This window comes from Homo sapiens, chromosome 4 (assembly GCF_000001405.40).
Source record: "Homo sapiens chromosome 4, GRCh38.p14 Primary Assembly".
Classification (NCBI taxonomy): domain Eukaryota; kingdom Metazoa; phylum Chordata; class Mammalia; order Primates; family Hominidae; genus Homo; species Homo sapiens.
Window position 1 is genome coordinate 46079228 of NC_000004.12, and position 20561 is coordinate 46099788.

Sequence of the window (20561 nt, forward strand, 5' to 3'; positions counted from 1 at the left end):
CACCCCTTTGTAGTCCTCTCCAGCATGCACTTATTTTGAAGTATAGCCCAGGTGACTTCCCAGCTCCTTTTTAAATTGTCGTCTTCGTAACTGGTGCCCTTGTTCCTCAGCCCTGTCTCCGTTACTAAGAGGAATCAGAATTTCTAGCAGGAAGATTCTACCCAGTTTCAATTTCCAGCAGGAAGATTCTATCTAGTTTCAGAAGTATATTCTAGGACTGTGTGATATATCACTTTTGCGATTGGAAAATATTTAAATTAAGTTCTGCAGATGCGAACTGGGATCTAAGTAGTTTTTATTAGTTGTTCCTTGTCCCTCACTTTCAAAGTTTCTATATTAGTCATCTCTTAATATTGGATTATATAAGGGTATACCAGTTCCTACAATTAAATTCATGTCCAAATTATACCTGGAATTTTTAGTGGTAGCTACTTTTGTACTTACTAATCTTATACTGTAGCCTCCTGTTAGATACCCATAATATCATCTTGAATTTCCTGGAGCTTTTACCAATTTTGACTTGGCTTTAAAGAATTGCTATGGCCCTTGAGTGTTGTACTTGCCAGTCAGAGGGTACCCAACACCGTGAGATATTTACTCAGAAGAGTAAAGATACATAATATCCCCCAAATCTGAAAAGTTACGAGGTTATAACCATTTTGTCTCATAAACTCTAGTAACATGTTCTTGACTTCAATTCTGATTGCATATTTTTCTTCTGCTTATATTGAAGATAGTTATAATCAAACCATATATAAAATTGAACAGCTTCTTTCCAAGTTACTCTATTTTTCCCCAGTCTTCATTAGTGCATCTGTTACTCATTTTGACTGTAAAAAGAAAAGCATATTCCATTGTAGAATAATGTCGTTTTAGGCATTATTCAGAAATCTATGGAAATGCATTTTATGTATCCAAGTTTAAAAAGAAACACCCATTTTGCAGCAAAACAAATTTTGGCTAACTTAAAAAAAACTAATATATTAATTTTGTTTCTTACTGGTCACTTAAATTATATGAGTACTTAAGGGGGTGGCACCCTCTTGCTTAAATATGCTCAAATCTGCTTCCTTGATTACACTCACATTCAAAGCAATTTTGCTCATTTTATGAAAAGTGAATTCTAATTTCCCTGTATTGTTTAGTTAAAATAGTCTTCTACTTAACCTATTTCTTATTCATCCCTAGTATCACAATGCTTTTCTTTTTAATAAACATTATCAAGTGTTCCATGGGGTTCTTTTATTTGTTTATTTTCACCTGTTTTAGTATCACTAGTTTCAATAGCAATTTTATTTAATTAGGTTTTTTTAAACAATCACTGTTGAAGGTTACAAGTGTGTAATTTGCTCCACTGGGGAAACTAAATCTTTAATACCATTAATCTTTTATATAGGAAGATCATTGTAAAAGTCTGTGATAGCCATTCTTGTCAAAGTGTTTCTAGAATACCAATACATCCTTGAATCTTGTTTCTCTTTACTTTAATGACCATATTTTTATTTAATATATTCATGCAAATTGAAAACATAAACCCCAAACGAAAAATATACAATTCATGAAAATGCCAACATTCCCATATGCTCAAACAGGCTTCTTTTCTCTAGGCATTGGTTACTTAGAAACTAAACATTACAATACTCCACTAAAGAAGAAATATAACATTTTAGCAATGTACTACTTTATGAAATCTGATATTTGCATATTGTTAAAAATGCACCTATTACACGTGTATATTAAAAGTTTTCTGTTTGCAAAAATCAGCTTATTGTATAGTAATTTGTTTGAGTAGAACTAATACTAAAAAGATTTGTTGAAACTTTCTCTTCCCTTGGTTTCCACGTCATTGTTTTGTCACTTTCTTGCCAACCTTGATGTTTCATTTACTATCTCAGCTTCATCTTTCAGGTCCTTAAATACATGTGTTCCCTAAGGTCTGCTATTCATTTCTTTGTTCTTCTCTCTTCACTTTAAGGCTGTTTTCCCCCATCTCACAGAGGTTTAGCAAATTCCTGACAAAGATTTGGCCCCAGCCTCAACTTTTCCCTGAATCTTAGCCCCTAATTTAAGACTAACTTCTAGGTCAGTCTATTGGAACATTCCTTCATCCTCTCAAATTCAATTTATCCACAGCCAGTTCATATTTTCTTGCACTAATGTGACAAAGATGTCACTTATGGCATGGCTAGAATGCTATCACTACAGTAATCAGTGCAGACAGCTGTAAAAGTTAATGAGAGTCATGTGAAGATTACATTGAGTAGGAGAAAAACTGAGTGTGACTGTCACACCAAAGGAGTAAGCAGACATAGGCAACTGTTAGGCATATTATAAAGGTTCACCAGCTATAAAGTGGTAAAGCCTGTAATAAAGGGATGATTTGACTATTATAATATTGAATAAATAAAATGAAGAGGAAAATCAGCAAGATATTTGAGAATTATCTTTGGAAGTCTTATGGGCTGAACCCCCTAAATTCATATGTTGAAGACTTAATCCCGAGAACTTCAGAATGTGACTATATTTAAAGGCAGAGCATTTAAAGTCAACATGCGGCTTTTAGGGTGGGCCCTAATACAATATGACTTGTGATAAGAAGAGAAACGTTGGATACAAAAGGAGATATCAGGGATGCACAGGCACAGAGAAAAGACCATGTAAGGACACAGTGAGAAAGCAGCTGTCTGCAAGCCAATGACATAGATCTTGGACTTCTGGCCTCTATAACTGCAAGAAATAGATTGTTGTTGCTTAAACCACCAGTCTGTGCTACTTCGTTGTGGCAACCCTAGTGAACAAATACCAAAGGCAAAAGCGAAGGAGAGGAGTAGAAGACATTATTGAATGCATTCCATGGGATCCAGTAGTTTGAACTCACAGAAATGGGATTATTAGCGTTTGGAACTGAACATTATGAAGTCTTTTTTAAAATAATGCTGGTTGCTCATATTGGCATTGTTAATTTTGCTCTTCATTAGTAATAAAACACTATTTATTCTATGTATAAAACATAAAAAATGAATATCACACTTTCTCAGTTTTCATTCTAAATGGTCTTTTCTTGATATTTTCTCAAATTATCTCTCCCTCCCTTATTTCTCTTCTTCTCTCCTCTACCTTCTCTACTCCCATACTCTTATCTCATCTTCTTCTAAGCCATGTTTCTCAAAATAGTAGTTTATAAAATTAAATCTACATTCCCACTCACTCCCTAGCACCCAGAAACCAGCACATGACTACATCACTATCCCTGCAGGAACCATATTTATTCTCAGGGATCCATGGCAAAAAGTTTGGACATGAGATCAATTTTGAAGATGAAGGAGGGATATGCAATCCAGCTGTTATCCCTTTCCTGCCTTCACCATTCCAACTGAATTTCTCCTAACAAAGCTAATCAACACCACCTACTTGTGAATGCCAGTTATCACTATCTAATCCATTTTATTGTATTCTCATGTGCATTTGTAACTCATTATCATTCCCTCCTTCTTTATCCTCTTTACTTTCTCAGATTTTATAATATCATCTTCTCTCGGTTTTGCTCCTACCCTTCTGACTTTTCTGAATATGTCCCCTTTCTGTGCTTCTCTTTCTTGCAACTATATTTTACATACATTCATCTCATTACACCATCTGGTCCTCAGATCTGTGATCTTCTTAATCTGAATCTTCTCTTAGATCATCTCACACATTCTTAATGTCTTGAGCTTTATTATATACTGCTTGTCTCCTTTCTCTTTCTCATCTACATCTATATTTTGTCCTAACTTCTTCCCTGATAGCAAATCTATAAGGCAAAATGCTGCTGGACCATTCCTGCTGAATGCACCATGAGCATTTGGGGTACATAGGCCTGCACTGTATTCCTACATCTGATAATGACTCTACCATCTTCAAAGTCTCTTCATTTCAATACCTTGGAGTCAGGTTACACATAATTAATAAGTCACCAAATTCTCAAAAAATTACCTATTTTGAAAAAAATGTATTATTTTCATCTCCAGCTTGATTGCAACTGCAGTAGGTAAGCCCTTGAAGATCTATTGTCCAGACTAACACAATAACCTGTAATGGGTCTCTGTAACCCTAACTTGGACTCTTACCTCCATCTTCTATACTGCTATAAGAGAGATGTATTTAAAAATGTACATCTGCATTTGACACTCCCCTGGTAAAATGTTTCCTGTCATTTATCTTCTCCCAAGGGATACAATTTATACATAATACAATTTACAAGCTTCCTATTATGATGGCTTACAAGACTGTCCTTGATAAGATCCTTAAATATCCCTTTTGCCTCAATTCCTTACTTTACACTTTATATTCCAGTAACATCAAATTGCTGGAAGTCCCCCTGATCTTATCAGGCTGTTTCATTCCTCTGTGACTTTGTGCATGCTGCTTTCTCTGCCAGTAAGTCTTTTTTTTCTCTGATTGACTACTTTCCCCTCAGACTTCCTGATTTTTTTTCTTTCCAGATTTCTTCAGGGACCTCTTCTTGGTGGATCAGATGATAATTTGTTATGCCGTTGCATAGTTCTACCAAACACAGCACATTGGAATAACAAGATACAGATTCTTAGATACAGGTATAGTTTAGCTCCAGTTGCCAATACCTGGCACAAAGTAATTGTACATGTTGATCTGAATTCATTCAGAATTAACTATAAAAAATTACTCACATGCGAATTCTATTTTGGAGGTATACACGAGAGATCTCTGTGGCAGTTATTATTTTTAATATTTCTTACTTACCATATTAATTGGATCAACTGGTCCAATGCTGTTTACATAAACATCAGTTTCAATTACTGTGGGCCTCACTGCAAAATATCAACAAAAAGAAAGGTCAAAGATATGATTAGACATTGTTTTAAATAAATCTTAGTTTTAAAGAAATCTTAATAACTACTTATATATTAACACTTCAATCATAAAACATCTTTTATTATGAAATGCAGAAATGTAGCCTTTATAAAAAACAATCTTTTTGGTTTGCAAATCAGTCACAGATAATTATATAGAGATAAAGCACATGAGATAATGCAGAAAAATGACCTTGTAGACTGAAAGTTTCTGTTATTGTGGCATGTTTTTAGTCATACATGCTCAGTTATCCTTTTCAAACTTCATCTGTTTTTCCTATATGACCGAGTACTTATCACTCATAATCGCAATGCTATGATTGACCAGGCAAGATGTATTTATTCTTTTAATACACACACAAGTCTGGCAGGCTGAATATCTATTCAGTCTCAGTCTCCTGGTCTTGGCATTTTTCAATCTGACAGAGCCCTCAAGCTACCAAACTTCAGTGAAAAACTTGAAGCATTTTGTAAAACAATGTCTATCAAATTTTAGAACAATATTTTACCCCTTGCAATTAAAAATACACTTAATAAAACACACAACACTTACATAGTTTGTTTTTCCTCAAGCAAAAATTTTATTATATTGCATACGTATTTAATAACACAGATTTAATTTTAGTACACAAAACTATGTTTCTAGACCTACACAATACTTGAAAATGCAATTCCATTTGCTAGCCATCAATTAGATATCTTAAATAAAAGTAGGTCATATGATTTATAGAAGGTTTTACAATTTAACATAGGCTGATGACTTCTGAGATGAGTTGCTTTAACTGTTTCTCCTTTGTTTCTGACTAGCTAAGACTTGTAGCCAATAAATATAAAATTAAGCCAGTTATAGTTAGATTTACAGAATGATTTTCATGAAAGTCAATTAACAACGAGACAATAGATTTATTAGTTCCATCTGTAAGTACATTTATTACCACTTATAAGTAGTTATAACTGGTATAAACAATATACCATTCTTATATAATAAGAGATTTTTTTTTTCAGTTAAACTGATAAATCAGCAAACGCCGAGTGCCTACTTTTATTTCACATATTCAAAGCTGAACGTTGTCTACATTGAGAGGGAAATTGTTCCTGGGACAATTTTCTTTAGAGGATAAATGTTTTCTACATTTACAATGTCAGAGGTTATAGATATTAGTTAACTGTCTTGGTTTCCTGACATCAACATTTCTTAGCCAATTATAAGATAAACATATACATTAGAAAAATAACTCTGGCATTTTAGCATGAGTTACATAGAAGCAGAGATACTGAAGTGTTTTATGATGAGCATAGAGCAATTGCACCCAGAATGAGACAAAAGAATAATCATATCAGTAAGTCCAATATTGCTACTAATATAGAAGATACTTAGTTAACAATTGTTAAATATGTATGTGAAAGCTATGACGAATCTTTTTGAGTTATTCTGTTCACCATTTTGTAAACTTGAGATGCTATTTGATCTGATCCTTGAATCTGCAGCAGCAACCGACAAAGATGAATAAACCAGGAAGTAGACTAAAATATTTCATATTAATTTTGAAACCACGGCTGGTGATATGCTTTAAAATATAATTAAGAAAAAAAACCAGAAATCTGTAATTGCTTCTTAATAATGACTCATTGTTGCTTTGATTCATACTATGAACAATACTAATGAGTAATATTACTTAAAATACAGGCTTTTGGAAATTGACTAAGTACTCTTTCTTAGCACTATGATTTTCTCAATCCAAAGTTTATTCAATTGCAAGATATGAGTGATGTTCAAAAACTAAGACATTATATTTTAATTTAAAACTAGAAAAATAAAACTAACAGAAAATTGTCATTCCAGACTCTAAATAACATCTTGAAAGTAAGCACAGACTATGTTTAATTCATCAATACACATGGAGATCAAAGATCTCTTTTTTGCAATAGCATAACAATGCATGAGAAAACCATGTACTGCCATGGCAAATCACATATGTATATATAAATGTGAAGGCAGGTAGAGATGACACTGGATTATTTTTGCAAGGTTTCTTTCTGTGCTGTTATTTTAAGTACTTTGCTTTAAGTTGCTCAACAGGATATAAGTAGATATTCTCCCAGTGGGATTAGAGGTTCAGGGCAATTTAAAGAACATCCAGAAAACAGAAATAGGAAGAAAAGTTTAAAATTTTAAAAAGAAAAAAGCTGTGTGATCAATAAAGTTTCCACATTCAGATTCCAAGTAGCAAAGGCAATAGTTAGGACAGCCAATTGTAGAGGTGGGTAATTGGTATATCAGTGAGAAAATATAAACTACAATAGATTTTAAAAATCTTTTCTTTATAATTGATTTTAACCATGCTTTCTTGGACACACTATTCTAATTTCACTAAGATATCTTTAGCAGATTATGTAGCTTTTTGGTCACTTTTGTATATTAAAATTAATTTAGGTCAATTAAAAACTCTAATCCTGGAGAGTTTTATAGACTTTTCTTATTGTCACAGAATAGGCCTTAAAAAAGAGAAATAGTCCCACTTATTCAGATATTGCAGTTATCACACATAATTTTTTTTCTTTATTTTATGTTATATAAATTTTACTTCAAATTTAAATATTTCATTTCACCAAGTATATTATTGTTTGTAAATGATATAGGTACAATTCCAAGAAAGCAAGCAACCACCTAGTGTGAATACTCTTACACAACTGATTGCTTTTGGACTCTCTTCTGGTCCTTGCCCATATACAGGTTTATTTTTATCAACCTACTCAAATTTCTATGAATATTTTCTTTTATTGTGAAAGCAAGTTTTTGTTTTGTTTTGTTTTTAGAAAGCAAAGGAATAAAAGAATGGCTACTCCATAGGCAGAGCAGCCTCTATGATTTTCTGAAAGTTTATTCAGGGAGTCAACTGTTTTTACCTGCAAATAATTGTTTCTCATAAATGTACCAACTGTTTTATTCAACCGATACATTCATGAGAGATATGAGCGTATAATTTTTTTTTCTTGTAATATCCCTGGCTGGTTTAGTTATCAGGATTTTGCTGGTTTAGTGAAATGAGTTGAGTATCCTTTCTCTATTTTTTTTAAAGAATTTGTGTAAGACTTATAGTAGTTCTTTCTTCTATATGTGGTGAAATTCACTAGTAAAGCAACAAAAATGTAATATTATTTCTGAACTGAATCATCCTTCTGTGAATACGTTATTGAGACAATTGGGAAGTGGGGCCAAGTATTCACTGGTAGTAATATATCAATATTATCTTCCTGGTTTTCATTATTGTGTCATGCTTATATAAGGTTGAAATAATATAAGTATATTCTAGGACCACAACAAAGTTAAAATAGAAGTCATTAATAAAAAAGATATCTTTAAAAATCCCTAAATATTTAGAAATTAAATAACATTTAAAAAATAATCCATGAATCAGGAAAAAGTCAGGAGGAGATAAATTTTTCAATAGTAAATAAAAATGAAAATAATGTTACAAGTTATAAAATTGAGAAAAATAAAATATCGATCTAGTTAACAGAAAACCTATAGTTATTAAATGGTAGAGCTTATAAACATGTCCCAAGAAGGAAAACTCCAGGTCCATACCACATATAGACTTTGAAATAATTATGATTAACATGTTCCAGTTTCCCTAGACTATACAGCAGAAGTCTTTGACCCAAAGATAGATACCAAGCTCGAGTTTAGATACTTCTTGTGAGACCTTAATTAACAAGGAAATGTCAAACACCACTTGACAATCAACCTTTCCAGGTTACATTTAGATATATGTGGATGAAAAGGTACATAGGGATAAGTAGATTCTTAAGGCTGAGCTGTCTAATACTGTAGCCAGTAGAAACATATGGCTGTTTAAATTTAAATAGAAATTAATTGCATTTAAATGAAATAAAAATATTTCTTAACCACACTAATCACATTTCAAGTACAGAACAGCCACTTGTGGCCAGTGCTTCCAAAAATGGTCAATACAGAACAACATTTCTATCATTTCAGTAAGTTTTAATGAACAATGTTCACCAGTGGTTCTCAATGAGAACACCATGTCGCCTGTAAATTATTTTGAAAATTTCTGGGCAGCTGTTTGTGTTCGTCACAAAAATTGGGATTGTTAGTAGTAGTGTTTAGTGGATGAAGTGCTTGAACTTCATAAAACAGTCATATGTAATGAAAAATTGTCCCACATTTAACAAGATTTTGAATATCCTGTCTAGCATTCATATAGGTAAAACAGTATGCCTTATAGTCTGAACCTAGAAGATAAGTTTTTTTACACATAAACACAAAATATTTCTGTGTTTGCTAGGAATTCCTGAAAAACAAAACACAGAAATATGGTATTTATTTTGTTCTGACTTTTACAAAATGTTGTACACCATTTTAGATAGCCATATCACCAATCACAATGTTGCTCATAGTACTGGAGTCACTGATAAGACACATTTGTATCTCTTAACTTGCGCAGGCTTTCCAATATGCAGTCATTCTGTGTATAAATGCAAGCATCTGGAAGCTTCATAATTTCTTTCAGTGTAGTTAAACCTGAGCATTCGCATATAGAATGCCAAATATTTCATTATAAATTACTTTTCGCACCTTACAATACAGGCATGGTATAGTGTATATCCCACTATAAAATACACACACACACACACACACACACACACCCCATATATCTATATTTAAATGGCATGTGTGTGTGTGTTTGTGTGTGTTTGTGTGTGTGTGTGTGTGTGTGTGTGTGTATTCCCAAGAATGTCTTCTCAGGAAAATTGAAGGCTGGTTTCTCATTCTCTACTTAAATATATGTTTAGGCAGCAGACTTGGCAACCTGCTCTTGCTCCCATACCTGATCAGGGAAAAGGAAAAATAGAAGTGATAGGACTTAAAGAAGAAAAAGCAGAGGAAGAGCTGCACACCTACTCTTTAGCACTTTTAGGATATTTTATTTTCTTGTGGGTATAAAGCACGCCAAAAGAAAATAACTTGGTTAGCAGCGTCTCACAGGTTTTTTGACCTCAAGAGAGTTGTGCATCAGCAGCACATATCTTCAGACTAGATTGCTGATGAAAGGAGTTAAGGCAGGTGGAAGATACAGAAGAGCATCCAGATTTCCCAAGCCAGGGAATTGAGCCATATACAATGCCTATGAAAAACAACAAAAAATTATTTATACCTCCTAACCATAAAAGTCATTATTTATACGTCAAGCCTTTAACTTACACCTAAGGCCACTTGATGTTACCCCAAAAAGAAGTAACAAGTAACAAGACTAAGGTTGCAACTATGCCCAGTTAAAACGTAGACCAATCTTCTTTATATCTCCCCCATGTCCCCATCGCTAGAAACATAGAAGAGATAAAGAGATGGAATAAAACAACAAGCCACACTACTCCCTTTCTTACCATCCTCTTACCCCCACAGTGTCACCCTAGTGGTGCTTGTCTTACCTGTGTCTCAAGAGAGGATGTCTTTTAATCTGGATATTAAATTTTTATATTAGGTTGAACTATTTAAATAACTGAAACTGTTTGGAAAGTCATAGAATCTACTTGTAAAGTTGTTAAGAAGTAGGAAAATAGGCTAGGCATGGTGGCTTCTGCCAGTAATCCCAGCACTTTGGGAGGCTGGGGCAGGCAGATCGCTTGAGCTCAGGAGTTTGAGATCAGCCTGGGCAACATGGTGAAACCCCGTCTCTACAAAAAATACAGCAATTAGCTGTGCGGGGTGTGGCACGCTTGTAGTACCAATTACTCAGCAGGCTGAGGTGGAGGGATCAGCTAAGCCCCAGGAGGTTGAAGCTGCAGTGAGCTATGATCACACCACTGCACTCCAGCCTGGATGACAGCATGAGACCATGCCTCAAAAAAATAAAAACATAGGAAAATAATATTTATCATAAAGCAATGGAAGCTTAACTGGATGAACAAAACCTTTCTATGTTAATTCTCCATTAAGTTCAGAAGACCTCAATAAGTTGGTTTTATAAGTTTTCATAGCATCACCAAAGACAAAGGGTACTAAAACATATTTTGGACAGAAAGCGATACATACAAAAATTACTTCAACAATTAAGTCACCTATGATGTAGTCAGATGCACAGAAAAAAATGCTACTATTCATGATACAGTTATCAAGGTATCCAGGACATATTTAACCTAATGTATTAAACACAGTGATGCTATCACAATTGTATATAAAATTTGAGCATTCATAGCTTGATCTGAAATAAATGTACCTAAAATGCAAAACTCATGGAGTAGGGCAACTATCAAAATACCTACACATGGACTAAAAAAGACTATATACAATGGATTCTATTCTACAAATACTTGGTAAATATTAAGAGAACCTAGTTTATATTTTAAGCATTGATTTAGCAATTAGGAATATAGTGATTTATAGTTTTAGGGAACTATATATAGTTCTCTATATATAGAGAAAACAGACACAAAATAATAATAGTAAAGTATAAGGAGTAAAACAGAAATACAGACTCTGATGCTTCCTTTGTGGTTTAATTGATATCAAAATATCCAACCCAATAAAGAAAACTATAAATTTTTTTTAAATAAACACACACAGATGGTGAAGAAAGCAGAGCAAATCAGATAGCCAGAATTTGATGTAACAATTCCCTGAAGATAATGAAAATGACGTGAGTTCTACATTACTCTTTGGCCACTTCTTCCCCTTGGTATATTTGCTGTTTGACAGCACAGCAATAGTGACTGAACAGAACAGAGCAGCTTAGAGCTTTTAGATCTTTTATTTGGCTGGAGAGACAAAACTTCGAATTAAGGGCTATCAGGACAGCTAGGACTTCCCTGGAATACACACACACACACACACACATACACACACACACACACACACACACACACACACACACACACGGAATTTAATCGGACATTCTACATGGGATTTCCCCTCAAGGCATTTGCTGTTTCCTAAATTGTACGTATGTGATGTTGACAAACCAAATATAAGCAGCTCCTAAGCATCTAAAACAACAGGAAGAGAGTTGAGCTATTTTAGGGATGTCTGACTAACAAAGGAGAGAGGATCCTGGTACAAACCTCAGGCTGTCAGTCCAGACATCTCAAATGGTTGGTCTTAGGCAAAATAAAAGCTTTACCAAGGAAATTACGCTAGTTCTGACCAAATGACAGTGATTTTCTTTACTCAACCTGACTATCGAAACAAAATTAAGTCCTCTCTGGAATAAAATAATGTCATGTAGAATCTCCATTATTTTTCACATACCCTACTCGCATTCAACACAAAATTAAGACACATTCCATGAAATACAACCACATAACCTTAAACAGAGAGAAACAATGGAAAAGAAAATTTTAAAAAGTTACTCAAGTTATCAAGACATCGTAATGATCAAAGATTTTAAAATAACTTCTGTTAATAAATATAAGAAAATAGAAGAAAAGATTGCAAATATTATAGTATACCTGAAATTGATTTAAAAATCAGGTGTAAATACTACCAGTGAGAAACATTGAACGGGAAATTAGGTCGGTAATAAAGAGCAGATTGAAACACAAATAGGGAGAAAATTATAGAAGAGCGTATGAGATGTAATGACATAGCAGAGGTCAAACATACCCGCAAGTGGAGTTGCAGAGAAATTGAGACAGAAGAAAAATGTCTGATGAAATACAGGCCGAGAATTTCAAAAGCAGCTATGTTTCAACCCACAGATTCAAGAAGCTCTGTAAACTCCTCAATATAAATATGAAAACAAAGCAAATCTAGGGACACTAAAATAAAATGGTAGAAAATCAAAGACTAAGAAAATGTTAAAATTGTCCAGAGATAAAATACATTTTATCTTCAAAATAGCACGATTAATGTTGAAATGTGACTTTTCAACAGAAATAGTAAAAGTCAGGAGAAAATTGAGTGATATTTATGAAGTTTGGAAAGGAAATAACAGGGTTTCCATATCGATTGGAAATATTCAAAATGAAGGCAATACAAAATAATTTTCATATAAAACTGAAATACTCCATTTCGAGAGACTTGCACCAAAAGAAATACTGCAGAGAATATATTTCTAAGTGGAAATAGGGTATTTAAGAAAGGAATTAACACCAGAAATGATAATTTATTGGTATAAGTTAATTGCTTTTAAACACCTTAAAACAATAATAATCATGTCTTTTGGTATTTCAGATAAATATAGAATAAAACATATGGACATAATAGCAAAATGACACTGTAGTTTATGGAAAAAGGTTTGAAATTTCTTTGAATTATGATAAACTTACTGATTTATGATTAAATCTAATAAAGTGCATATTTTACTGACTAAAATTTATAAATGAATATGTGTACAATGCAATGATAGAAGGATAAAATAAAACTGCAAATATTTAATGAATTCAAAAAAGGAAAGAATAGAGAAAAATATAAGCAATAGAGAACAAATTAAATAGCTTAACAAAACAGAAAACAATAGAAAGGTAGTCGATTTAACACAAAATATTCAATAATTACCTTAAACATATCTGCATTAACCACTCCATTTAAAAGAAAATAATTGCCAGACTTGATAATTAGGAAATAGGAACAATATACATATTTCCTAAAAAAAATTACTTAATGAAGGACACAAAAATACTGAAAACTAAAGTATGAAAAAAAGATATTAAAAAATCAAATTGGCCAGGAGCGGTGGCTCACACCTGTAATCCCAGCCCTTTAGAAGGCCGAGGTGGGTGGGTCACCTGAGGTCAGGAGTTTGAGACCAGCAGACCAGCCTGACCAACATGGAGAAACTCCGTCTCTACTAAAAATACAAAATTAGCCGGACATGGTGGCGCATGCCTATAATCCCAGCTACTCAGGAGGCTGAGACAGGAGAATTGCTTGAACCCAGAAGGAGGAGGTTGCATTGAGCCAAGATTGCACCATTGTACTCCAGCCTGGGCAACAACAGCGAAACTCCATCTTAAAAAAAAAAAAAAAAAAGTCAAATCATAACTCAAAGAAAACACATATAGATATATAATATCAATCAAATTAAATGTTATAGCAAAATGTATTCTACAGACCAGAAAGATTGTTTCCTAATGATAAAACTGCTATTCAACAGAAGGTGTAACCATCGCAAAGAAAATTTGGTATATGTATACAATTGAGTACCATTCACCCACAAAAAAAAGGATAAGATTCTGTCATTTGCAACAACATGGATAGAACTGATGACATTATGTTAAGTGAAATAAACCAGGCACAGAAAAACAAAAGTCACATGTTCTCACTCATTTGTAGGGGTTGAAAATCAAAACAATTGAACTCATAGAGTTAGAATAGAATGATGGTTACCAGAGGGTAGTGAGGTAGGGGAGTGGGGATGGTTAATGTGTATGCAAATATAGTCAGATACAATAAATAATATCTATTATTTGATAGCATAGCAGGGTGACTACAGTCAATAATAATATATCATACATTTAAAAATAACCAAAAGAGTATAACTGGAATGTTCATACCAAAAAGAAATGATAAATACTCGAGGTGACTACCCCATTTATCCTGATGTGATTATTACACATTCTATGTGTATATAAAAATACCTCATGTACCCCATAAATGTATACATCCACTATGTATCCATAAAAATAAAAGTAAAACTTTTTTTAAAAAAGGAGACAAAACAATCCAAAATTTGTGTGTACCTAAAACAGTTTCAATATGTATAAAGCAAAATCTTACTGGACTAAAAATTTTTAAAGGCTAAGTCAATCATTGTAGTCAGAGATTTTTAACACACCTCTCTCAGTAGATGTATAGGATTATACATCTATACATTTGAGCAACAAGAATTATAAATCTGACTTAAGTTTATGTTTTCAGACCCAGATTAAATTAATGTAGATACCAATAACAAAAATATACCTAGAACACAGGCTAATTTTTGAAATTAAACAATATTCACTAACTACTGCATGTGACAAAGAAGAAATTACAAAGAAATAAATCGTAAAAGTCTAAAGCAGTACATGAGAAAATTTACATAAATTCCCTGTGTCTTCATCTCCCAATATTTCCTTCAAAAATGTATATAAAAAAAAGAGAAAAGTAGAAGTAAACAAAAATTAAGTTCTCAGTATAACTTAAAGACAAAAAATGCCCACACTTCAAAATGACTGTAAATGTCAAACAAGCAAACAAATAAAACCCCAAATACCAAATCTGGAAAGAAATCTTTCAAACATTGTCTCATCTCTACTCTAAGGCAACAGTTTATGGTGGGCACAGCAGCCTGAAATAGGCTCTGTAGAAGACAGAAGGGAGTCAGTGATGGGCCTAAGGTAGATGCCAAAGTCCACTGAAGAAAGTAAATGTACCATTAATATGAAAGTATTTAAACATGTATTTGGAAACCAGCACAAGAACTAAGAGGAAAAGGATCTACAAGTATGTGTGATGTCAAAGAGTGATGTTCAAAATAGGTTGTTTCTGGGCCAAGAAAAATGTCAAAAACAAAAACAGAAGTGAGGTTAGGAAATAGTATAGTGACAAGGAAAAGTCAAGGGGAGTACCTCATGCTTCTACAAGGAAAAGAAGAATCAATGAATTGGAAGTAACAGAATTTCTCCCCGACCACAAAATAAATAATACACCCCAACACCACAATCAAATCCAAAGTATCTGAACTTTGCTATCGTGACATTAAAATACATCAATAAGCTAAGATCTTGTAGAACACCCAGAAACCACAAAATTAAAAGGACAAAATAATTATTGCAGAATTAAGATACGAAGATCCAATACAAATCAATTGTGGAAAATTCCCACACAAAATAATAAGCAGAAGAAACTGTAAGAAAATACTCCCCACAGTTAAGTATATTCAAACAAAAATTTAGGAATAAGAAAAAATCACCTTGAATAAAATAATTCAGAAACTAAGCAAGATAAATACATTTCTCACGCACACACAAATACACAAAAAGTAAGAAATAAATAAAAAATTGGTTGAACTTTAAAAAATAGAAGAAAAAGACAAAATTATGATGGTCACCAATGAATCAACTAAAAACAGTTTAATAATAGGCAGGAAAATAATGAAGAGAATACAACTGAGATGAAGAGAAGTCAGAAAGTCAGAGAGAATATTGTGCAAATACAAGGCAGGCAAAGTGTGACTAACATACCTATAGTGGGAATTCGTGAAGAAGAAAACCACAACAATGTAACAGAACAAATATTCAACTTTATGTTCCTAAATAAATAAATACAGAAGTAAATGCATTTTCCCAAGGTTGAAAAGAAAACCTGAAATTACATTTTGAAAAAAATGTATCAATGTCTAGAAAAACGGCTACCCAAATTGAACAGCTCTGAAACATATACTAAGAAAAGACTTCAGTTGAAACCTTTCTTAAAAAATCCTAAAGGCTTCCAGGAGGAAAAAAAAAGACTAAGTAAATTACAAGGACTGAATAATAGACTGGCATTAGACTTTTCAAAAATAACACACAAAGCAAGTTACCAGTGCAATTAGGCTATTAAAGTGAAAAGTCAGTGAAAGAAAACATAAATTGAGGATTTTCTATGTAGCCACTATGTCCTTCAAGTTTCAAATCAATAGAAAAATAATTTTACATGCAACAACTTTCTGAAAAATCTACTCAATAAAGAGATGACTAAAATAACTTTAGCAAAATATACCAATGATGAGAATTTTTTTAATTAGTATTTAACTTTTATTTTAGGTTCGGGGTTACAAGTGAAGGTTTGTTACGTAAGTGAATTCATTTCACAGGGGTTTTCCTGTAAAGATTATTTTCTCACCCAGATATGAAGCCCATTACCCAATAGTTATCTTTTTTGCTCCTCTCCTCCTTCCCACTCCCCACCCAGTGTCTGTTATTCCTTTCTTAGTGTTCATGAATTCTCATCATTTAGCTCCCGCTTATAAGTGAGAATGGGTGGTATTTGGTTTTGTGTTCTTGTGTTAGTTTCCTAAAGATTGTAGCCTCCAGCATATATTGAAAGAGCCTAAAGACTAAAGCAAAGATTGGGAAAATGGTGTTAAACAAATTTACAAATATTACATGTTGTGACAAAGCAGAAAATATATAATTAAAAATAAAAAAGCAAAGGAGAAGAAAAAAAGAAAATAGAAAAATATCATTAATTGTTGTATGGACAGTATGTGGGAGTTAAATAATATCAATAACAACTGAGAATCCCGAGTAAAGGGCTAATAAATGAAAGACTAAGGCTATTAAGATAAAAGTACGAAGGTAAAACTAGAACAAAAACAGGAAGCTTCCAAAATACTAAAATAAAACAAATATTAATTAAATGCAAGAAATTCACTGCCCATATAGATACATAGCAAATACTACTAATATATGATGCCAGGGTTGAGCACAAAATTCTCCCTTTTATTTCTTTTCCCTATCACTGCTCAGTTTCTTAAACACACTTCTGTCTAGCTTTCTGATATTTTTCTCTAACCAGAAAGAAACCTGTTTTGAAGACTGTGTTTTCACATCACACATACTTGTAGATGTGTAGGGAAAGAAAGAACCCTAGCAAAATAGAAGAGAAGGTAACCAAAAAAAGTGTCCTTAAAAAAGACGTTTAAGCAAGCATCATACCTACTAGTGAAATAGAGATTACCTTTCCAGATATCAGGAACAATTTGAGATTATTCAACATTATACTCTAGTCTTACCCAGTGCAATATGGCATGAAAAAGTATAATTTTGGAAATGAGAATGTAAAATATTCATTATTTATAAAAATGGTCATTATTCTGTATCTTATCTTTCAAATATTAGCTCTTTTATGAAGTATTTCTCAGTCTTAGGCAGTTTTATCAAAACTCGGTCAGATATTGTTGTAGCAGTTGGAAAATAATTACATTAATTTTTTTTCTTTTTTCTTATTTCAGACTGTGAACTCCTCAAAACATTAGTGACCATTCTAACCAATAATCTTCAAATTCAGCAGATTCTCTGACATACATCAGACACTCAAGGAATAAGAAATAATGATTAAAATAGTACCAGTAATGATATGTTTAATGGTCATCAAAATCCCAGAATGGTAACTCAAGCTTACCTCCTATATCTGGACGAAGTTTATTGTCATAGCCTTGAAGCAATGAATTCAGAATTTGTGTGATATCTCCTTCATGAATTTTTGGGGCCAAGACCCAGGTTTTGTTCACCGTTAAATCCTCATCATCTTCATCATCTGCCTTATCAACACTAAATAATTCAAAGAAAAAAATGGATGGTAGAAGGTTCAATCAAATCATGTATAAAAGTATAGTTTAAGTATGTTACAATTGAGTAAGAAAGTAATAATGGCAGACAAAAAGGTATTACACTAACATTACATTTAGTAAGACCAATACATTTGTCATACAAAGTGCCCTGATATAATACTCAAAAAATGAGAATTCTGTGCAAGAAATACACAATATTAAAATAATAAAGTAAATTTTGACCACTCCCACAACTGTCATTAACATTCATAAAAATTATTCCACCAAAATATGACTGGTGTCCCCTAAATTTGTATAACATAAAATCTGTGCACCCATATGTGGTGACCTTAAACCATCACAACCAAAAATAAAAATTAAAAGGTAAAGAATTACAGGAAAAGATGTAATAATTAGTCTGGTAAAATGTACAAAAAATGGATGTGTAGAAAAGAAGAATTAAGAAAAATTGAGTAAAGGAAGGTTTGAATAAAAAGGAAAACATGTTTGTTGTACATACTGTTGCTCATTTCTTTTAAGTCGGAAGAACCCAGCCATCTTTTTCCAAGAACTTTGTCAAAGATTTTATAATCATCAAATTATCAATAGGTGACTCATCTTGCACATATATTTGGGAGGAGGCATAACTATCACATTTTACTAGAAGTGATATTGGGGAGATCAAATAACTCTCTTCCTTTATTTTATAACTGAGAAAACCAAGGACCACAGAAAAATAGCCAAAACACAAATCTATTTATCAGCAAAACTGAGACTCAAACATTGCCTCTCCAACTATTGCTTTCTGATACACCTGTGTGCTTAAAAGTGAAAAGATTCAGCTGACTTCTGAATTGTGATAGAAACATCCAGTAATAAAGATATTCATCAACAATTCATCAAAGGTAATAAATTACTCTTCTCTTTATTGCCCATAAGTAACGCCATCTTCTTTTGAGTAAGGTCATTCTAGACTTAACAACACACCCATTTTAGGAAATCCCTCATGCTCCAGTGAAAAGGGGTCCAAAAAACTAAACACTAACATTGGTAAAATCAAGTAAATCTGTAATTTTCCAGATTATTCACATATATTTCAAAGATGTGTTTCCCTCAAACAGTAAATACTTAATGCTTTCTACAGTATCTATTCAGACCTCTTTTGCTTTGAATCTAAACACCTTAGCAAATGCAGCCCCAACTCCTTTTATCCGTAAACTCTCAAGCTGATTTGAATTGCTAAGAAATACATCAAGCATGAGAATACAAGAGAACACGCCAGTCCGAGATGTTTATTTTATGTTGGACTACCCTGGTCTTGAGAGAAATATTACTGCTTTTGATTGCCACCTCTTTGGTATTTTTTTAGTGCTTGCCTTCTCATTTTGTGAAAGAAAGTGGAGTGGCCAAACAAATCCTGAATTTTCAGTTCCATTTCCCAAACATCAGCTATAAAAACCTGGATATCACATCTGCTTTGTAGGCTCTCTGTACAATGGTTGGGGGGTTGGGGCACTTAATTGTATCATCAGATTCACATTGCCCTCTATTTTGCTTTTCGTGAAAATATTTTTGTTAAGATGCTTATGAAGATGCTTGTGAAGTAAAAATCCTTATATTGCCATAAAAAATTTTTATGAGATTTTAACATCATAAATTAAAATTTTACTTTCAAAGAATTTACTATATTATTTCATCGTTATAATAATTATATTAATAGTTATCTTCCACGGATTAATAACAGTGTATTATTAACAATGTTTCTCCTCTTCTTGTGAAATAATTATGCTTCTCACCCTACTAACTTTTAACTTGTCTGTAATTTGCAATACTCCTTCCAGCAGGAGGATTATACATCCCTGTCCTGTTGAACTCAGGTCTGACCCTGTGATTGACTTGGGCTAATGGTATATAACTGACATGCATCACTACCAAGCAGTGGGTTTAGTGTCAGTGAAGTTTATTACATCTCTCTTGTCCTTCTGCCAGGTGATACTCAGCCATACTCACAGGCTACTCCATTACTTCACTCTCAGAGTGAAGGTGACTTGGACAGAGCCACAGCTGAACTACAATGGACATGTAATCTGAGTGAGACATAAACATTTAGGGTTGGAAGCCACTGGGATTTGGAAGTAGTTTGTTACCACAGCATAACCTAATGTGTCTTGGCAGATTGCCTCAGGATGGTCCAATTTTATTTGTAACACTTTGAGAATACAAATTGAGAGATGTTAAGTAACATACGCCTCAGTTCTACTATTCCAAATCTCACCAGTTTCTCCCACCACCAACACCTTAGTTAAACAATCTTAGCAAAATCTCTGCCAAAACAATTCTGGCCCCCTCAAGTTAAGTATATCACTAAAGTACATAGAATGTGCTTTGTATGCAACCTCAAGAAAGCTTTCTAGTAGTCAGAGGCCAGTTCTCAGACCCT

At 33.1% G+C, this 20561-nt stretch overlaps 1 protein-coding gene across 2 annotated transcripts in view; it reads right to left on the minus strand.

Moving 5' to 3' along the window:
* GABRG1 (gamma-aminobutyric acid type A receptor subunit gamma1) overlaps positions 1-20561 on the minus strand; it is an 88286-nt gene that overhangs the window by 43459 nt on the left and 24266 nt on the right. Inside the window, exons 2-3 of one of the 2 annotated variants that reach the window (NM_173536.4) lie at positions 17974-18122; positions 4759-4826 (exon numbers count right to left, since the gene is read on the minus strand). In NM_173536.4, coding sequence (NP_775807.2) covers positions 4759-4826; positions 17974-18122 — 217 coding nt within the window. Of the gene's footprint in view, positions 1-3; positions 149-4758; positions 4827-17973; positions 18123-20561 lie in introns of those variants that run through there. The other variant, XM_017007990.2, reaches the window with a different exon arrangement.